The 20,202-nt window shown below is 38.6% G+C and overlaps 2 annotated features.

Annotated features, from left to right (window-relative positions):
* Positions 18,885–20,084: an enhancer, noted in NCBI's record as "MED14-independent group 3 enhancer chr1:88500769-88501968 (GRCh37/hg19 assembly coordinates)". NCBI's record gives its function as "activates an origin of replication core promoter dependent on BRD2, BRD4, P300/CBP and CDK7 cofactors, and independent of MED14, by STARR-seq in HCT116 cells {active_cell/tissue: HCT116}" and the evidence as "EXISTENCE:reporter gene assay evidence [ECO:0000049][PMID:35650434]".
* Positions 19,117–19,818: an enhancer, noted in NCBI's record as "H3K27ac-H3K4me1 hESC enhancer chr1:88501001-88501702 (GRCh37/hg19 assembly coordinates)". NCBI's record gives its function as "activates a minimal SCP1, AML or CMV promoter by ChIP-STARR-seq in primed H9 embryonic stem cells {active_cell/tissue: H9 hESC(primed)}" and the evidence as "EXISTENCE:reporter gene assay evidence [ECO:0000049][PMID:30033119]".

Genomic DNA, 20,202 nt, shown 5'->3' on the forward strand with positions numbered 1-20,202 from the left:
TTGAAGCTCAACAATTTTAATTTTTCTTCTACTCTTCCATTCATTCCCTTGTGGTATGAGAATTAGTGGGCCTTGGGTTTTCAAACAGGTGGAGAAGGCTGTAGGGTGTATAATTGTTTTTAGTGAAACCATCAACGTCCATGTTTAGTTCTTCCTGCTCCACTTCCTCCAATTCAATTAGGCTGTTCTTACCAGAGGGAGAGTTTTCAAAGCATCAGATGAAGTGTTACCTCATGATTAATAATTCATGACAAGAAATAAAGATTGGGAAAGGTAATCATGCCCTTCAAGCTGTTTTTCTCCACCACTCCCTTGTTCTCATTCGCATAAAATGCTGTGTCTCAATCATTAAAGCAAACATACAGTTTCATTGCCCTCTAAACCAAAGATCCAAAGCAGGAATTCATAAGCTTTTTGAAGTCCCAAGCTCCTTTGAGAATCTTGTGAAAGCTACAGACTCTCTCTCTGAAGGAAAAAATGAACTCTGTGGCATGCACCACTGATACGGTGTTTCCAGTTCACACGGATCAGGCACCCCTGGAAAAGCATCCGAGGACTCCCTAGGTAAAAATCTCTGGTTAGACGAACAAACAGACGGAAAAAAAAAAGACAAGCCCAAAAGGAATCAAAAGTGGATGGACAAGAAGTTTAATGTGCCTTGCCTGTACTTTCTGTGCCCAAATTTGCAATGAAACAAAGAAATTGTCCAAGTGTTATTTACTTAGTTATTTAGGTAGTTTGCAAGGGGACCAGTGAGGTAGGTGAGTATTAGAAGATTGGATTTTGGCAAAGCGTATATTACAGGAGAAATCAAATAGGGGTGATTGTGGGGGCATGGCTGATATTGAAATCTATTTGCAAGCCTACTTTCAAGGCTGCATTTTTTCCTTGCCAAGTGCTATCAGCCATAAAATGTCCAAGGCAGTGGGCCACACCCACAGCTTCACGCTCTGCTACTTGGCATTCCTCTAAGTTCTCCCTCAATTGTCATATCTCCACAGGCCATAACAAGGGACAACAGTCAGCAGCAATTCAATTTCGACCTCCATCTGCTGGCAATAAGAACATAAGGGAGAAATTAATGTACACTCACACACTTGTCATTATAGTAGCCCAAATTTGCTTTTATAGTGTGACTTTCTTCCAAGGAAATAAAAAAAAAATAGTTTTCATTCAAATTCCCAAACAACAACTAACCTGATAGAGGACTAAAATAATCATCTCTATTTTTTGAAGGCACGAAGATGCTAAAAATTTGTCCAGGGCCACATAGCACTTTCATGGGAAAGTATGGATATCAGAAAAGCTCTCTGAAAACCATTCTGACATGTCTTAAAAGTTTGACATCCAATATCCAAGCCAGCAAGCAGGTTATATTAACATTTAATCAGATTGTATAAACATACAGCAAAATATTTGTGTTCTACTACCTAACACAGTATTACTTCACTTATTTTTCTCCTTTTATTCTCATTACCAAAACCCAAGACCCATGATTTGACATTTACTAGCTCTGTGATCTTGAGCATGTTACTTAATCTCCTTGTGCCTTTACATTTTCCTCTGTGAAATGGAAATAATAAAAGAAGCCAACTCAGATTTGTTAAAAGGGTTAAATGAAAAATTCTTAGAAGGTTCCCTTAGAAGATTTCCTAGCATATACAGGGTATCCTGTAAAATCTGGAAACATAGATATAATCTTCTTATACATTTGAAAGGTTGATGAAAGATGAACATATTGAGCTTATACTCATAAGCAAATGAAAGGGCTGATCACAATGATTGCAGAGCCCTTCTTTGCATTTCATCTTGGAAGAACTACCATTTCCCACAGTACAATTAGAAAACTAGTTAAAAAATTCAAGATCATAGTGTGTTCAACAAACTCTTCTGTGAACAATTATTTATTTCCAACAAGATAGAGGAAACAGTCATCGCCAACCAAGGTCATAACCAACCAAAGAGATCATCTTGCCAGACATCCAAGGAATTGGAGGTGCCTTGCAGAACTGTCCCAGTGATTCCTAAAACACATGCCTTTCAACCATACAAGATGCAAATTCTACAAAGCTTATCTGAGGATGATCCTATCCAGCATGATGAGAGGCAAGGCACTGAATGTATCAGGTAAGGCTTCTGAACAAATCATGTATTGTAATGTAATACTAATAACCATTTTAGTGCATATTTGCTAATGCTTCCAGGCTTTGGGCCATCTACAGTAACTGTGTATTAAATATTTGCTATTACTATTAGCATTATTATTATTTAAGGAAAAACTTAAGAAAAAGATGTTACACGATCCACTTTTTTCATTTTTGAAATAGTCACATTTTCACAATAGTAAGTAAGGGTAGAAGAATCACTAGTTAGTAATAATGATTTAGCCCTTTTAACTTGTGGTCCCCTATTGACCTCTTTCTTCATTAACTAATCAATATGCTCCCAATCCTTGAAGGAAACACAACAGTGAAATAAGTTTGCACATGTTTCCTAGCTATTCTCTATAGAAGAAGTTAAGAACCAAATTGAAATTTGAAATCTCACTACATATTTGTTTCCCTCCTTCCTACTGTCAATGCCTACCTCATAAAGAGATAGTAGTACAAAGTTGACTTTGATTCATGAAAATATTATATACTTATACAAATAAGAGCAGTATCCTCCAAAACACAAAATAATAACAGCAATTTATTTTTGATCATTTGTGTTAGGCTCTCTCAAGAAGATTTAATGACAGATTACTGATGAGCAATTCCATAAAAGCAATTATGAGCCAATAACTTACAAAGAATTTTGAAAAACCTGTCTTTGCTTATGCTCATCCCTAATCAAGATATACAGAACTTCCAAACATAAGATATATGTAATTTAAATAAAATGTATCATGCTGTCATGTCAAATGACAGATACCTCAGCTTGATCTTAATTCTCTAGCTCACGGTGCTCAGTGTGATGCAGTCTGGCTAAAGAGGGAAATTAAGAAAGGTCTATTGTTAGTATGCTGATGCTCCTTAATGTCAACAGGTGTGATCAGGTGTAAAAAGGCAAGTATCATAAGAGCATCAACACAGAGCCTTCCTACATGATGCTTCAAAGGGAGGCCAAGATTGAAAAAGCTGAAATCTTCCATCAGACTGCCATTTGGCAAGTATATCCGAATTTCTCTCTGCTACCTGGCAGAAGCTGAAGATTGAGGGATAAAGAGAGGCTAAATATGTGTAACCATTGAAATCTTGTACTTTCTATGAATATGGCCTTTGGAGGAATCAAAGGGCATAGAAATTAAAGAATGGCCAAAATGCAGGCATAAAGATCAAAAACCTTCTCAGTAAATTAGTAACTGGTTGAATTACACTAAAGGATGTTATAAATAAATCCACTCAATCAGGAGAGATGGAGAGAGTGTTGTAGTAACTTTCTACGGGTATTATTCTCATCTCTAAACTGTTTACAATTATATTAACAACTTCGTTAAAAAATATGAGATAGAATTATTAAATTTCAGGATAGCACAAAACAGAGAGAGAAAGATAGTATTTTTGAGGACAAAAGGTATAATATGGAGAAAGAATGGACTGAAAGTTTAGGACTTCGAAGAGTAGAAAGACTTCAGGTATTAGATTTCCAGCTGAATGGGAAGGAACACCCAAATTAATATAATTTAAGAGAGTTAAATACAGGAATTGTTTATAAAAGTGTGGGTAGGGTTTAAGGAAACCACAAAGGATTGTTTGTTTGTTTGATTTCCAACTTTTATTTTAGGTTCAAGGAGGCATATGTGTAGTTTTGTTAGATGGGCAAATTGTGTGTTGTGGGAATTTGATGTACAGATTATTTCATCAGCCAGGTAATAAGCATAGTACTTGATGTCTTTTTTTTTTTTTAATCCTCACCCTCCCTCCACCCACTAGGAGGTAGGCTCCAGTATCTATTATTTGCTTCTTTTTGTCTATGTGTACTCAATGTTTAGTTCCCACATATAAGTGAGAACTTGCAGTATTTTCCTGCGCTAATTTGCTCAGGATAATGGCCTCCAGCTCCATCCATGTTGCTGCAAAGGACAGGATTTCATTCTTTTTTATGGTTACATAGTATTCCATGGTGTATATGAACTACATTTCCTTATTCAGTCCACTGTTGATATGCATTTACGTTGATTCCATGTCTTTGCTATTGTGAATAGCGCTGCAGTGAGCATATGCATGCATCATGTATCTTTGTGGAATAATTTATATTTCTTTGGGAATATGCCCAGTAATGAGATTTCTGGGTCAAACGGTAGTTCTAAGATATTTGAGAAATCTCCAAATTGCTTTTAAAAGTGGCTGAACTAATTACATTCCCACCAGTGGTGTATGGCGTTCCCTTTTCTCCACAACCTCACCAGCATCTGCAGATTTTTTACTTTATAATAATACCCATTCTGACAGGTGTGAAATGAGATCTCATTGTAGTTTTGGTTTGCATTTCTCTAATGATTAGTGATGTTGAGCATTTTTTATATGCGTATTGGCTGTACATACGTCTTCTTTTGAGAAGTGTCTGTTCATATCCTTTGCCGAATTTTAATGGAGTTGTTTGTTTTATGATTATTAATTTTGTTTAAGTTCCTTATAGATTCTGGATATTAGACCTTTTTTGGATGGATAGTTTGCAGATATTTTCTCCCTTTCTGCCGGTTGTCTATTTACTCTGTTGATATTTTCTTTTGCTGCGCAGAAGCTCTTTGGTTTAATAAGATCCCTGTATTAGGCCATTCTTGCATTGTTATAAAGAAATACCTGAGACTGGGTAATTTATAAGAAAAGAAGTTTAATTGGCTCATGGTTCTGCAGGCTGTACAGGAAGCAGTGTACCAGCATCTGCTTCTAGGGAGGCCTCAAAAAGCTTTTATTCATGGCAGAAGATAAAGCAGGAGCAGGCACTTCACATGGTGAAAGCAGGAGCAAGAGAGAGAGAGAGGGTGGGGAAGGAGAGTTATCACCAAGGGAATAGCCAAAGCCATTCATGAGGGATTGCTCCATGATCCAAACACCTCTCAACCAGGGCTCATCTCCAACAATGGGGATTATACTTCAACAAGAGATTTGGGCAGGGACAAATATCTAAACTATATCATTCTGCTCCTGGCCCCTCCCAAATCTCATGTTCTCACATTTCAAAATACAATAATCCTTTCTTAATAGTCCCTGCAAACTCTGAACTCATTCCAGCATTAACTCAAAAGTCCCAAGTCCCAAATCCGAAGTTTTATCTGGAAATGAGTTCCTTCCACCTATGAGCCTGTAAAATCAAAACAAGTTATTTACTTTCAAGATACAATGGGGATATAGGCAGCGGGTAAACATTCCTGTTCCAAAAGGGAGAAATTGGACAAAAGAAAGGAGCTATAGACCCCATGAAGTCTGAAACCCAGCAGGGCAGCTATTAAATTTTAAGGTCCAAAATTATCTCCCTTCACTGCATGTCCCACATCCAGGGCACACCAGTTCAAAGGCTGAGCTTCCAAGGCCTTGGACAGCTCCACCCTGGTGGCTTTGCAGGGTACAGCCCCTACAGCTGCTTTCATGAGTTGTTGAGTGCCTGCAGCTTTTTCAGGTGGCCCACACAAGCTGCTAGAGGATCTACCATTCTGTGGTCTGGTGGATGGTGGCACCCTTCCCACAGCTCCACTAGGAAGTGCCCTGTGAGGGCTCCAACTTCACATTTCTACTTGGCACTGCCCTAGTAGAGGTTCTCTGTGGGGGCTCCACCCCTGTAGCAGGCTTCTGCCTGGGATTCATGCTTTTCCATACATCCTCTGAAATCTAAGCAAAGGATACCAAACCTTATTCACTCTTGCACAACTGTGCACCTGCAGGCTTGGAAGCCACAAAGGAAGACACATGGAAGCCACAAAGGCTTATGGCAGCTTGAGCTCTCTGGAGTGGTAGCACGAATAGTATCTGGGGTCCTTTAAGTCAATGCTCAAAGTGGAGCAACCAGGATGCAGGAAGCAGTGTCCCAAGGCTACACAGGTCAGTGGGGCCCTGGGCCTGGCTCAAGAAACCATTCTTCCCTCCTAGGCTGCTGGGCCTATGATGGGAGACGCTGCAGTGAAAGTCTCTAAAATGTGTTCAAAGTCTTTTTCCCATTGTCTTTGCTATCAATACTTGGCTCTCTTTTAGTTATGCAGATTTCTCTAGCAAGTGGTTGCTCCATAGCCTGCTTGAATTCCTCATCCCAAAACGCTTTTTGTTTTTCTGCCACATGGCTAGGCTGCAAATTTTCCAAACTTTTACACTCTGCTTCCTTTTAAATATATAAGTTCCAACTTTAAGCCATTTTTTTTGCACCCACATCTGAATGTAGGTTGTTAAAAGCAGCCACACCACCTCTTGAACACTTTGCTGCTTAGAAATTTCCTCCACCAGATATGCTAAATCATTGCTCTCAAGTTTAAACTTCCACATATCTCTAGGTCATGGACACAACACAACTAAGTTCTTTGCTAAGGCATAGCACGTGTGCCCTTTGTACCAGTTCCCAGTAAGTTCCTCATTTCTACGCAGGTCCTCAGCGGTTTGGACTTCAATGTCCATATTACTATTAACGTTGTGGTCACAATCATTTAATCAGTCTCAGAAGTTTCAAACTTCCTCTCATCTTCCTGTCTTCTTCTGAACCCTGCAAACTCTCCCTACCTCTGCTTATTACCCAGTTCCAAAGCCATGTCAACATTTTCAAGTATCTTTATAGCAATGTCCCACTCCTCTGTATTAATTTTCTGGATTAGGCTATTCTTGCATTGCTATAAAGAAATACAGGAGACTGAGTAATTTATAAGAAAAGAGGCTTAATTGGCTCATAGTTCTGCAGGCTGTACAGGAAGCATTGCACCAGTATCTGCTTCTAGGGAGGCCTCAAGAAGCTTTTACTCATGGCAGAAGGCAAAGAGGGAGAAAACACTTCACATGGCAAAAGCACGAGCAAGAGAGAAATAGAGGGTGGGGAAGGGGGGGTGCCACACAATTTTAAATGACCAGATTGCATGTAAACTCAGAGGGAGAGCTCACTTATCACCAAGGGGTGGCCCAAACCATTCATGGGGGGTCTGCCCCCATGATCCAAACACCTCCCACCAGGCCGCATCTCCAACACTGGGGATTACATTTCAGCATGAGATTTGGGCGGGGGCAAATATCCAAACTTTATCAGTCTCACTTGTCAATTTTTGTTTTTGTTGCAATTTCTTTTGGAGTCTTATTCATGAAGTCATTTCCAGATTCCAGAATGGTTTTCCTAGGTTTTCTTCTAGGGTTTTTATAGTTTTAGGTTTTTACCTTTAAATCCTTAATCCACCTTCAGTTGATTTTTGTACATGGTAAATGGAAGGGATCCAGTTTGAATCTTCTGCATATGGCCAGCCAGTTATCCTGGCACCATTTATTCAACAGGGAAGCCTTTCCACATCGATTCTTATTGTCAACTTTGTCAAAGATCAGATGGTTGCAGATGTGTGGCTTTATTTTGGGCCCTCTATTCTGTTCCATTGGTCTATGTGTCTATTTTTGTACGAGTACCCTGCTATTTTTGTTACTTTACACTTGTAGTATAGATTGAAGTTGGGTAGCGTGATACCTATGGCTTTGTTCTTTTGGCTTAGGACTGCTTTGACTATTCAGGATCTTTTTTGGTTCCATATGAGATTTATAATAGTCTTTTTCTAATTCTGTGAAAAATGAAGTTGGTAGTTTGATAGGAATAGCATTGAATCTGTAAATTGCTTTGGGCAGTGTGGCCATTTTAATGATATTGATTCTTCCTATCCATGACTATGGAATGTTTTTCCATTTATTTGTGTCACCACTTATTTCTTTCAGCAACATTTTATAATTTTCATTGTCGAGATCATTCACCTCCCTGGTTAACTGTATTCCCAGGTATTTTATTCTTTTTATGGCCATCATGAATGGGACTGAACTCTTGATTTGGCTCTCAGCTTGGACATTATGGGTTTATAGAAAGGTTACTAATTTTTATACATTGATTTTGCATCCTGAAACTTTACGGAAGTTGTCTATCAGATCTAGGAGCCTTTGGGCAGAGACCATGGGGTTTTCTAGGTGTAGAATCATATCATCGGCAGAGAGATACAGTTTTACCTTTTTTCTATTTGGATAACTTTTATTTCTTTCTCTTGCCTCATTGCTGTGGCTAGGACTTCCAGTACTATATTGAAAAGGAGTGGTAAAAGTGGCATCCTAACCCTGTTCTGGTTCTCAGGGAGAATGCTTCCAGATTTTCCCCATTCAGTATAACGTTGGCTGTGGGTTTGTCTTTAGATGACTTATTATTTTGAGACATGTTACTTTGATGTCTAGTTTTTTTATGGCTTTTGACAAGAAGGAATGTTGAATTTTATCAAAAGCCTTTTCTGCATCTATGGGGGGATCCTGTGTTTTTTGTTTTGTTTATCTCATGAATCACATTATTGATTTGTGTATGTTAAACCAAATTGGTGTCTCAGGGATAAAGCCTACTTGATAGTGATGGATTAGCTTTTTGATGTGCTACTGGATTCAGTTTGCCAGTGTATTAGTCCATTTTCATGTTGCTGATAAAGACATATCCAAGACTGGGTAATTTATACAGGCAAAAGGGTTTATTGGACTTACTGTTCCATGTGGCTGGGGAGGCCTCACAATCATGGCAGAAGGCAAGGAGGAGGATGTCATGTCTTATGTGGATGGCAGCAGGCAAAGAGAGAGCTTGTTCAGGGAGACTCCTGTTTTTAAAACCATCAGATCTCATGAGATCCATTCACTATCATGAGAACAGCATGGGAAAGACCTGCTTCATGATTCCATCATCTCCCACCAGGTCCCTCCCACAACACCTGGGAATTATGGGAGCTACAAGATGAGATTTGGGTGGGGACACAGAGCCAAATCATATTATTCCACCCCAGCACCTCCCAAATCTCATATCTTCACATTTCAAAACCAATCATGCCTTCCCAACAGTCCCCCAAAGTCTCAACTCATTTCTGCATTAACTCAAAAGTCCACAGTCCAAAGTCTCATCTGAGACACGGCAATTCCCTTCTGCCTGTAAAATCATAAGCAAGTTAGTTACTTCCTAGATACAATGGAGGAACAGGAATTGGGTAAATACAGCCATTCCAAATGGGAGAAATTGGCCAAAACGAAGGGGCTACGGGCCCCATGCAAGTCCGAAATCCAGCAGGGCAGTCAAATTTTAAAGCTCCAAAATGATGTCCTTTGACTCCATGTCTCACATCTAGGTCACACTGATGCAAAAGGTGGGCTCCCATGGCCTTGGGCAGCTCTGCCCCTGGGGCTTTGCAGGGTATAGACCCCCTCCTGGCTGCTTTCATGGGCTGACATTGAGTGTCTATGACTTTTCCAGGTGCATGGTGCAAGCTGTCAATGGATCTAACATTCTGGGGTCTGGAGGACAGTGGCCCTCTTCTCACAGCTCCACTAGATGGTACCCCAGTAGGGACTCTATGGGGGTGCTCTGACCCCACATTTCCCTTCTGCACTGCCCTAGCAGAGGTTCTCCATGAGGACCCCACCCCTACAGCAAACTTCTGCTTGGTCATCCAGGTGTTTCCATATATCCTCTGAAATCTAGGCAGAGGTTCCCAAACCTCAACTCTTGACTTCTGTGAACCCACAGGCCCAACACCATGTGGAAGCTGCCAAGGCTTGGGGCTTCCACCCTCTGAAGCAACAGCCTAAGCTGTACCTTGGCCCCTTTTAGTCACAGCTGGAGTAGCTGGAACACAGAGCACCAAGTCCCTAGACTGCACACAGCAGAGGGACCCTGGGGCCCATCCATGAAACCATTTTTTTCCTCCTAAATCTCCAGGCCTGTGATTGGAGCGGAAGCTGCAAAGGTCTCTGACATGCCCTAGAGACATTTTCCCTATTGTCTTGGTGATTAACATTCAGCTCCTTGTTACTTATGCAAATTTCTGCAGCCAGCTTGAATTTCTTGTCAAAAATGGGATTTTCTTTTCTATCTCATTGTCAGGCTGCAAATTTTCGAAACTTTTTTATGCTCTCTTTCCCTTTTAAAACTGAATGCTTTTAACAGCACTCAAGTAACCTCTTGAATGCTTTGCCACTTAGAAATTTCTTCCACCAAATACCCTAAATCATCTTTCTCAAGTTCAAAGTTCCACAAATCTCTAGGGCAGGGGAAAAATGCCACCAGTCTTTGTGCCAAAACAACAAGAGTCACCTTTGCTTCAGTTCCCAACAAGTTCCTTATTTCCATCTGAGACCTCCTCAACCTGGGCTTTATTGTCCATATCACTATCAGCATTTTGGGCAAAGCCATTCAACAAGTCTCTAGAAAGTTCCAAACTTTCCCACCTTTCCACATTTCCTGTCTTCTGAGCCCTTCAAATTGTTCCAACCCCTGCCTGTTACCCAGTTCCGAAGTTGCTTCCACATTTTTGGGTATCTTTTCAGCAGCACCCCACTCTACTGGTACCAATTTATTGCATTAGTCAGTTTTCACGCTGCTGATAAAGACATATGTGAGACTTGGCAATTTACAAAAGAAAAAGGTTTATTAGACTTACACTTCCACGTGGCTGGGGAGACCTCCTAATTATGGCGGAAAAGCAAGAGAAGCAAGTCACATCTTATGTGGATGCCAGCAGGCATAGAGAGAGCTTGTGCAGAGAAATTCCCATTTTTAAAACCACCAGATCTTGTGAGACCCATTCACTACCATGAGAACAGCATGGGAAAGACCTGCTGACATGACTCAATCATCTCCCACTGGGTCCCTCCCATAACACATGGGAATTATGGGAGCTACAAGATGAGATTTGGGTGGGGACACAGAGCCAAACCATATCAGCTAGTATTTTATTGAGGAGTTTTGCATCTATGTTCATTAAGGATATTGGCCTGAAGTTTCCTTTTCTTGTGTTTCTGCCAGGCTTGGTATCAGGATGATGGTGTCCTCATAGAATGAGTTAGGGAGCAGTCCCTATTTCTCAATTTTTAGAATTTGTTTCAAGAGGTACGACCTTTTCTTTATATGTCTGGTAGAATTTGGTTGTGAATTCTCTTGTCCAGAACTTTTTCTGGTTGGTGGGTTTTTTGTTACTGATTCAATTTCAGAACTTGTTATTGGTCTGCTCATGGTTTCAATTTCAGAACTCCTTATTGGACTGTGCTTCCTGGTTCAATCCTGGGAGGTCATATGTTTCCAGGAATTTATCCATTTCTTCTAGGTTTTCTAGTTTGTGTGCATAGAGGTGCTCATAGTAGTCTATGAGGGATGTTTGTATTCCTGTGGAGTCAGTGATAATATCTCCTTTCTCATTTCTGATTGTGTTTATTTGGATCGTCTCTGTTTCTTTATTAGTCTAGCCAGTGGTCTTTTAATTTTAGTTATACTTTCAAATAATCAACTTTTGGTTTCATTGATCTTTTGTATGGTTTTTCATGTCTCAATTTTATTCAGTTCAGTTCTGATTTTCATCTTTTTTTTCTTACGCTAGCTTTGGGATTGGTTTGTTCTTGCTTCTCTAGTTCCTCTAGTTGTGATGTTAGGTTATTAATTTGAGATCTTTCTCACTTTTTGATGTAGGTGTTTAGCACTAGAAACTTTCCCCCTAACACTGCTTCAGCTGTGTTCCAGAGATTCTGGTATGTTGTATCTTTATTTTCATTAGTTTCAAAGAAGTTCTTGATTTCTGCCTTAATTTCACTGTTTATCTAAAAGTCACCCAGGAGTAGATTGTTTGATTTCCATGTAATCATATTGTTTTAGAGATCTTCTTAGTATTTATTTCTGTTTTTATTGTGCTGTGGTCTGGGAATGTGGTTGGTATGATTTTGGTTTTTATAATTTGTCGAGCATCACTTTGTTACCCAGCACAAGGTTGATTTTAGAATATGTTTCATGCGCAGATAAGAAGAATGTATATTGTGTTGCTGGGTGAAGTGTTCTGCAGGTGTCTGTCAGGTCCACTTGGTAAAGTATCAAGTTTATCTCCTGAGTATCTTTGATAATCCTCTGCCTCAATGCTCTAATACTGTCAGTGGGGTGTTCAAGTGTCCCATGATTATTGTGCATTGGCTAAGTCTCTTCATAAGTCTCTAAGAACGTTTTATGAATCTGGGTGTCTCCAGTGTTGGGTTCATATATATTATATTTAGGATAGTTAGGTCCTTCAATTCTTGTTGAATTGAACCCTTTATCATTATGTAAGGTCCTTCTTTGTTCTTTTTGATTGTTATTGGTTTAAATTCTGTTTTGTCTGAAATAAGAATAGCAATCCCCGATCTTTTTTGTTTTCCATTTGCTTGATAGAATTTTCCCTATCCCTTTACTTTGAGCCTGTGGGTGTCACTGCATGTCAGATGGGTCTCCCAAAGACATCATTCAGTTGGGTCTTGCTTTATCCAACTTGCCACTCTTTGCCTTTTAAGTGTGATGTTTAGACAATTTACATTCAAGGTCAATATTGATATGTGCAAATTTAATCCTGTCATCGTGTTGTTAGCTGGTTGTTATGTAGACTTGATCATGTAGTTGTTTTATAATGCCAATGGTTGATGGACTCAAGTGTGTTCTTGTGGTGGATGGTACCGTTCTTTCATTTCCATGTTTAGCACTCTCTTAAGAACCTCTTGTAAGGCAAGTTTGGCGGTAATAAATTCTCTTAGCATTTGCTTGTCTGCAAATGCTTTTATTTCTCCTTCATTTATGAAGCTTAGTTTGGCTATCTACCACTAGTCTCCTAACAGTGCTCAACATCTACCAAGCTGAAATGAAAATCAGAGAGTAAATATTTCATTGTTGTTATGATTCCTGGGGTAGGACTTAACAATCTGTACTTACTTTGAAATACAGTTAATAATTTGGTTGCATCCCAAGTTTTAAGAAGAACTAAAGTTCAGAGAAAACTGTGAGTCTTGTTCCACTGAAGTCCAGTATAAACTCTGGGTCTTGTTCTACTCCATGCATGAGAAAACATTTTTTTGTAAAAGGCCAGATGATAAACCTTTTAGGCTTTGTGGGCCATACAGTCTCTGTCGCAACTACTCATGTCTGCCTTTGAATAGCAACTTAAAAAAAAAAAAAAAGAGAGAGGCTTGGCCAGACTTTGCCCCCAGTGGGCTGGATTTGACTTACAGTCTGTAATTTGCAGATTCATGCTCTACTCTGTGAGAGCCAAAGTTTCCATGGAGTATGGAGTATTGTGTTCATTACTACCGTTGCTTTAAAAAGAGAATTCCTGAATATGCTCTGATGTTTGAAGGTTTAAACATATACTTCTTATTAAATTTAAGTTAAAAGCTTTAAAAAATACAGATAATTATACATATTAGTCACACCAGAAGTGAAATTTGACAAACGTCTCCAAAATGGGAAGCTCATATCCCAGAAAGATGTTCTATTGAGGTATAAGAGGGAATATTAGAACTTTTATTTGTATTTATTTTTTATCACATTTGTTTTAAATTTTATTTACAAATACTTTATTATGTACTTAAATTATCATTACTATAGTAAATACAAATATTTACACATTAAGTAAATTATTCAATTTATCGGAATGCAAGTTTGGCAAAGTAAGAACCTTTAAAACTCCACCCCTCCATAAAATCAATAAGAATACTGATAAATAATTGTTAAAATCATCTTTTTAAGTGCTCTGGAAATTAACTAAAGGTTTGCAATACAAGGAAAGTTTATTCAAGGAAATTGGTTGAGTCTTGGTAAGAATATTCAGCTTTTTGACAATTTAACTTGCCCAATTCCTATTTCCTTTCTCTGAGCTCTGTAAGAGGCTTGAAAGTCAGCAGGTTTGCAATGATAGTACCTGTGAAACACAGCAGTCTAGCAGCCACTGGAGGGAGTAGAGTGAATTTGGAGCTCCCCCAAAATCTTCATCCCCAGAGAATTGTTATTATTTGAACTGTCTTGGAGCTACTGAAAAAAATCCCATTCTCAAGGTTTGTCTTTTTATTTGAACTGACTTGGAGCACACTGAGTGAAAAAATTTTGTGTTCAGGGCACTTGTTAAAAAAAAAAAATCAGAGGCAACTGCTACACATCATAGCTACCTAAGGTCACCACACCAGTTGGGATAATCAAGAGGCCAAAAAACAAAAAGGAAGTAAGGAAAATGAGACCTCCATAAGGAGTTTTGAAAAGCTCTAACATGTTCCTGGGAATCTAGAAGTACATGTGCAGGGCTGGAATATGCCAAGGAAAGACTTGAGAAGATCGCTTATCCATGGCTGAACTAAGGCTCTTTGCAAGCAAGAAATGAGAGATAAAGCATAGCTGTAAACTGCTAGAGCATTGAAAGCATACCCCAACCCACACCGCTAGGCCTCTCTGCAAAGGGTGAGAGACATATTGGTTCAAGGCATTTCAGGAAATTTCTGTGCAATCATTATCCGACTACCAAAATAACTGAGTGGTGACAAGACTTCAGTGGCTGCACACAACAAAGAACACAGACTTTACAGAATTCATCCAGGAAAGTCACTAAACAAAGAAACAGACACACAGCAAAAGAAACAACAACAAACTCTGGGAAAGGGGCAGAGACCTAATTCCCAGAGTTGACATGCTATTTAATTTAAAATATACAGGTTTCAATAAACATTACAAGACACATGAAAAAATAGAAAAGCATGTCCAATACATAGGAAAGAAAACAATCAATAGAAACTGGGGCTTGAAAAAACCCTACAGATATTAGACTTACAAGACAAAGATTTTAAGTCAAATACCATTCAAAGAACAAAATAAAATTAAACTAAAAGGTAGTATCTGCTTGCCAAGGCGGGCAGATCAATTGAGTCCAGGAGTTCAAGACCAATCTGGTCAACATAGCAAGACCCCGTCTCCTCTAAAAATACAAAAGTTAGCCGGGCATGGTGGCGCACGCCTGTAATCCCAGCTATTAAGCAGCCTGAGGCACAAGAATCACTTGAACCCTGGAGGCAGAGGTTGCAGTGAGCCAAGATCGAACCACTGCACTCCAGCGAGATTCTGTCTCAAAAACAAAAAAAAAGAAAAGAAAAAGAAAGAAAGAAAAAGAAAAGGAAAAAATTTTTTAGATGAATGCATGAAAATGGAAACAAAAACATGTAATAAAACTGATAGGATGTAGCTAAGTCAGTGCTCAGAGGGAAATTTATAGCTATAATAACTGCCTACGTTAAAAAATAAGAAAGACCTGAAAGCCATAACCTAAACTTTCACCTTAAAAAAATAAAAAGAAGTACAAACTAAACTCAAAGCAAGCAGCAGAAGAAAATGATAAAGACTAGAACTAAAATAAATGAAACAGAAAATTGGAAAACAATATAGAAAATCAATGAAATCAAAAGCTGATCTTTGAAAAAATCAAAAATGTTGACAAATCTGTAATTAGGTTGAGCAGGAAAAGAAAGAAGAAAGACTCAAATTACCAAAATCAGTTATAAATGAAGGAACATTACTACTGACCTTACAGAAATAAAGAGCATTATAAGGGAATATTATACACAATTATATGCCAACAAATTAGATACTGTAGATGAAATGGCAAAATTCCTACAAAGATGGAATTTACTAAATCTGACTCAAAAAGAAATAGAAAATCTGAATAGAGCTATTATAACAAGGAAAGAGATAAAATTAATAATTTTTAAGCTTGTCATAACAAAAGGCAAAAGCATAGATGGCTACGTTAATCAATCCTACTGAACTTTTAAAGAAGACTTAATAGCAAATCCCCATGAATGCTTCCATAAAAAGGATATTTTTAGCTCATTTTTGAAGTTAGTTTTACTTTGATCTCTAAATCAGATAAAAACATTATAAGAAAACCACAAACTAATTTCCCTTAAGTATACAAATACAAAAATTCTCAATAAAATTCTGACAATGTATAAATGCTAGCAATATATAACAATATATAAAAATGATTAATTGCTATAACCAATTTGAATTATTCCAGAAATAAAAGATTGACTTAACATCCCAAATCAATTAACAAAATGCATCATATCAATATAGAATAAACCACATGATCATCTAAATAGACATGAAAAAGATTTTGACAAATTCCAGTATTTTTTCATGATGAAAATATTAAACAAACTAGAATTGGAAAAAAGCTTGCTCAACTTGGTAAAGAACATCTATAAAAAACACAGCGTTGACAGTTATCTGAGTTAGATTGCACAAAGAATACCACCAAATCATCTTGTATACAGAAAATCCTGAGGAATTCAGGAAAAAAAAAATCAGAATTAATCAGTGTCTCAGCACAGTTTTAGACTAAAAGATCAATCTGCAAAAATCAATTGTGTTTCTATGCACCAGCAATGAACAATCTGAAAATAAAATCAAGAAAACAATCCATTTATAATACCATCAAAAAGAATAAAATACTTAAAAGAACAAAAGAAGTGCAAAACTTGTAGGCAAAACTATAAATAATGTTGAAAGAAATTAAAGAAGATGGAAATACACAGAAAACCATCTTATGATCATGAATTGGAAGACAATAATATTAATATAGCCATATTCCCTAAATTAATCTATAAATTCAATGCAACTATTATTAAAATTCCTACTGCTTCATTTTTTGCAACAATTAACAAGCTTACCCTGAAATTTACTTGGACATGCAAGGGACCCAGAATAACTTAAATGATATTGAAATAAAGAACAAGGTTGGAGGACTTACACTTCTCAGTTTCAAAACTTACCAGAAATCTATAGTAATCAAGACAGCGTGGTATTGGCCTAAGTAGACATAGATAAAACAACAGAATAGAACTGGAAGTTCAGAAGTAAACTCTTATATTTATGGTAAATTGATTTTTCACAAGGGTTTCAAGTCAATTCAATAGGGGAAAAGAAATCTTTTCAAAAATTGGCACTGAGACTACTGGATATTTTCATGTAAAATAAAATGGAAATGAACCCCTATCTCACATTCCATTCAGAAATTAATTCGAAATGGATCATAGTCTACAATATAAGAGCTAAAACTATAAAACTCTTAGAAGAAAACAATAATGATAATTATTCATTGACCTTGGATTAGGTAATGGCTTCTTAAATATGACACCAAAAGTACAACTATGAAAAGAAAAAAAAATAGATAAATTGGACATCATTAAAATGTAAAAACTTGCATTTTCAAAAGACACCATTAATAAAGTGAAAAGACAGCCCATGGAATGGGGGAAAATATTTGCAAATCATTTATCTCCTAAGAACTTCTGTTCAAGACATACAAAGCACTCTTATAACTCAACAATAAAAATAAAAAATACTCCAATTTTTTAAAATGGGCAAAAGATTAGAATAGACATTTCTCCAAAGAAAATACATTAATGGTCAACAAGCACATAAAAAGATGGTTAACATTTCTAGTCAACAGAGAAATATAAGTTAAAACCACAATGTGACACACTTCACACTCACTATAGTGGATAACAAAAATAAAAAAGACAAATAATAAGAAGTGTTGCCAAAAATGTGAAGAAACTGAAGCCGTAATACATTGTTAAGAATGTAAAATACTGAAGCCTCTTTGGAATGTTTGACAGTTCCTACAAAAGTTAAGCAAAGATTTAACATATGACCTAGTCATCCCCCCACATAATTATATTCCAAGAGAAATGAAAATATATGTACATATAAATATTTGTACTGGGATGTTCATAGTATTCATAATAGCAAAACACTGGAAACAACCCAAATGTCCATCCACTGTTGTATAGGTAAAATGTGGCATATCTGTACAATGGAACGTTATCTGGCAATAAAAGTGAATGAATTACTAATACATGCACAACATAGATGAACATTGAAAACATTACGTTAAGGGAAAGAAGCCAGTCAAAAAAGCATATATTCTATGATTCCATTTCTATGACGTATTCAGGATAGGAAAATCCATATAGTCAGAAAGCAGTTTAGTGATTTCTAGCGGCTGCAAGGAGGGTGAATGGGGAATGACTGCTAATAGTCACAGAGTTTCTGTGTAGGGTGATGAAAATGTACTAAAACTAGATAATGGTGATTACTGTGTAACTGTGAATATAGTAAAAAACATGAATTGTATTCTTTAAAAGGATGAATGTTATGGTATGTGGATTTTATCTAAATAAAACTGTCTAAAAATTATTGAATTGCATGCTATCATTTTATTTTTTAAGAGATAGGGGTCTCACTACGTGGCCCAGGCTAGAGTACAGTGGCTATTCACAGGCATGATCATAGCACACTGTACAAGCCTCAAATTCCTGACTCAAGCAATTCTCCTGCCTCAGCCTCCCAAGCAGTTGGGACTTTAAGGACATGCTCAGCTCATCATATTTTAAGATTGATGGCATATAAGCTCAAGATAGCTTGAAGTGAGTTCTGGTTCCTAAAAGGCTGATCAAGCTCCTACTAGTCTGACATTCTTAAATACATCAACCACAACTCTAGATAATTACAAAAACAAACAACTTCAAAAAACGTGAACAAAACAAGACAGATGGTGGAGTGGACCATAAACTTGGAAAACGCGTCTTACATGCATTGAATTTTCTGTTTTAGGAATTTTAGCCTGAGGAAAAGCTGAAGTTGAATAAAGGAAACTCACACTTTCTCTGCTCTGAAGATCCAGAGGATTAAGTTCAGGAAAACCATAGCTGTTGAAGAGTAAGGGAGAAATATTAGAAATGAGAGATACTTCAAGCTGGAGAGGTACCAAGTTCTGTGATAGACTCAGCTTAAATTTCCTGCTGAGTCCTGAACCACATGTACCTGAGACAAACACAAAGCAGCACACATAAGGGTTAAAACAAATAAACAAACAAAACTAAAAAGAAAAGGAACTCTTAACTGGTATTTGAGCTGCTGCCCAAGGAACAGCATTTGTAATTTCAGTACAATCAGTTTAATTGCCTGTTACAATGAAAATATCAGTACTCGGTTAGGGCTTCAAGTTGGTTGACTAGAAGCAGCTATCATGTGCCGCTCTGACACAGAAAAGAAAAAGAGAGGCGTAAATACTAGATTTTCAACTTAAATATGCAGATGGACACCTTGGGATTAATCAAGGAATCAGCTCTACCGGTGGAGAATGGAGAGGAGCGAGACTGGACAACTGCCCATGGGGAGTGGCACAGAACCAGGGGAGGCTCCACCACAGCAGGGAATCAGTGAGTGAGTGAGCATCCCTGGCGACTCCTATTTCTGACACAGACCTTTGCAACCCTGGGCTCAAGAGATCCCCTCATGAACTCATCCCACCAGGGCCTTCAGACTGATATGAAGACCTATGTGGTGCTTATGCAGGATTTTTTGCTCCTTAGTTCAGCTAAATCCGGGTTCTTGTCTCAAGGACACATTGAAGAGTGAGGAGAGCGGAATTTATTAAGCAAAAGGAAAGCTCTCAACAAAGAGAGGGGTCCTGCACCCAAGCTTCCATCTCACAGAATTGAATGTCAGGCCACTACACGGGAGTTGAGGAGGCCAGGCTCCTCCCTGGCCAAAGGCGCGAATTCCTGGTGGCTCCACCCCATTCCCGGCAGTGCTCGAGGGGCATGCCCAGACAAGCTGCCTGTGCGGGTTCCCCATCTGCACAAAGCATCTGGTGTAAAGACTTGTAGGGTGGGTTGGAGATTCTACAGGGACCTTTCCCTATCTGCCTAGGCATTTGGCTGTCTTCTGCCTATATCAGTGCCTGGGCAGAGCTGCCACTAAGGCACATGTGGAGTCCCCAGAGCATTGGATCCCTGGGCATCCCAGCCTTAGCAGCTCCAGCTCCAGCAATGGGGTAAGTCGGGCTCCCTTGCATGCCCCCACGAAAAGGGCAAATCCAGGGGGCTGAGCAGTGATGGACTGCAGGCCTTTGCCTCCACTGAACCTCACAAAATAAAGCTCACTGGCCTAGGACGACAGGCACCCCCAGCTGGGGCTCTCAGGCCCATAGCAGCTCTGCACTTCTCTTGGACAGAGTGCGCAGCAGGTGAGGCAGGCTGCCATCTTTGCTATCTGGCAGCCCTTGCCGCTGTTGCCGTCAGGCTCTGGAGAGTGCCTGGTGACCTGGGACTGGAGCAGACCCCCAGCACAGTGCAGCCACCTCACAGAAAAGCAGCCAGACTGTTTTTCATGTGGGTCCTCAATCCCGCTTCTTCTCACTGGGCAGGA

Source organism: Homo sapiens, chromosome 1 (assembly GCF_000001405.40).
Source record: "Homo sapiens chromosome 1, GRCh38.p14 Primary Assembly".
NCBI classification, from domain to species: Eukaryota; Metazoa; Chordata; class Mammalia; order Primates; family Hominidae; genus Homo; species Homo sapiens.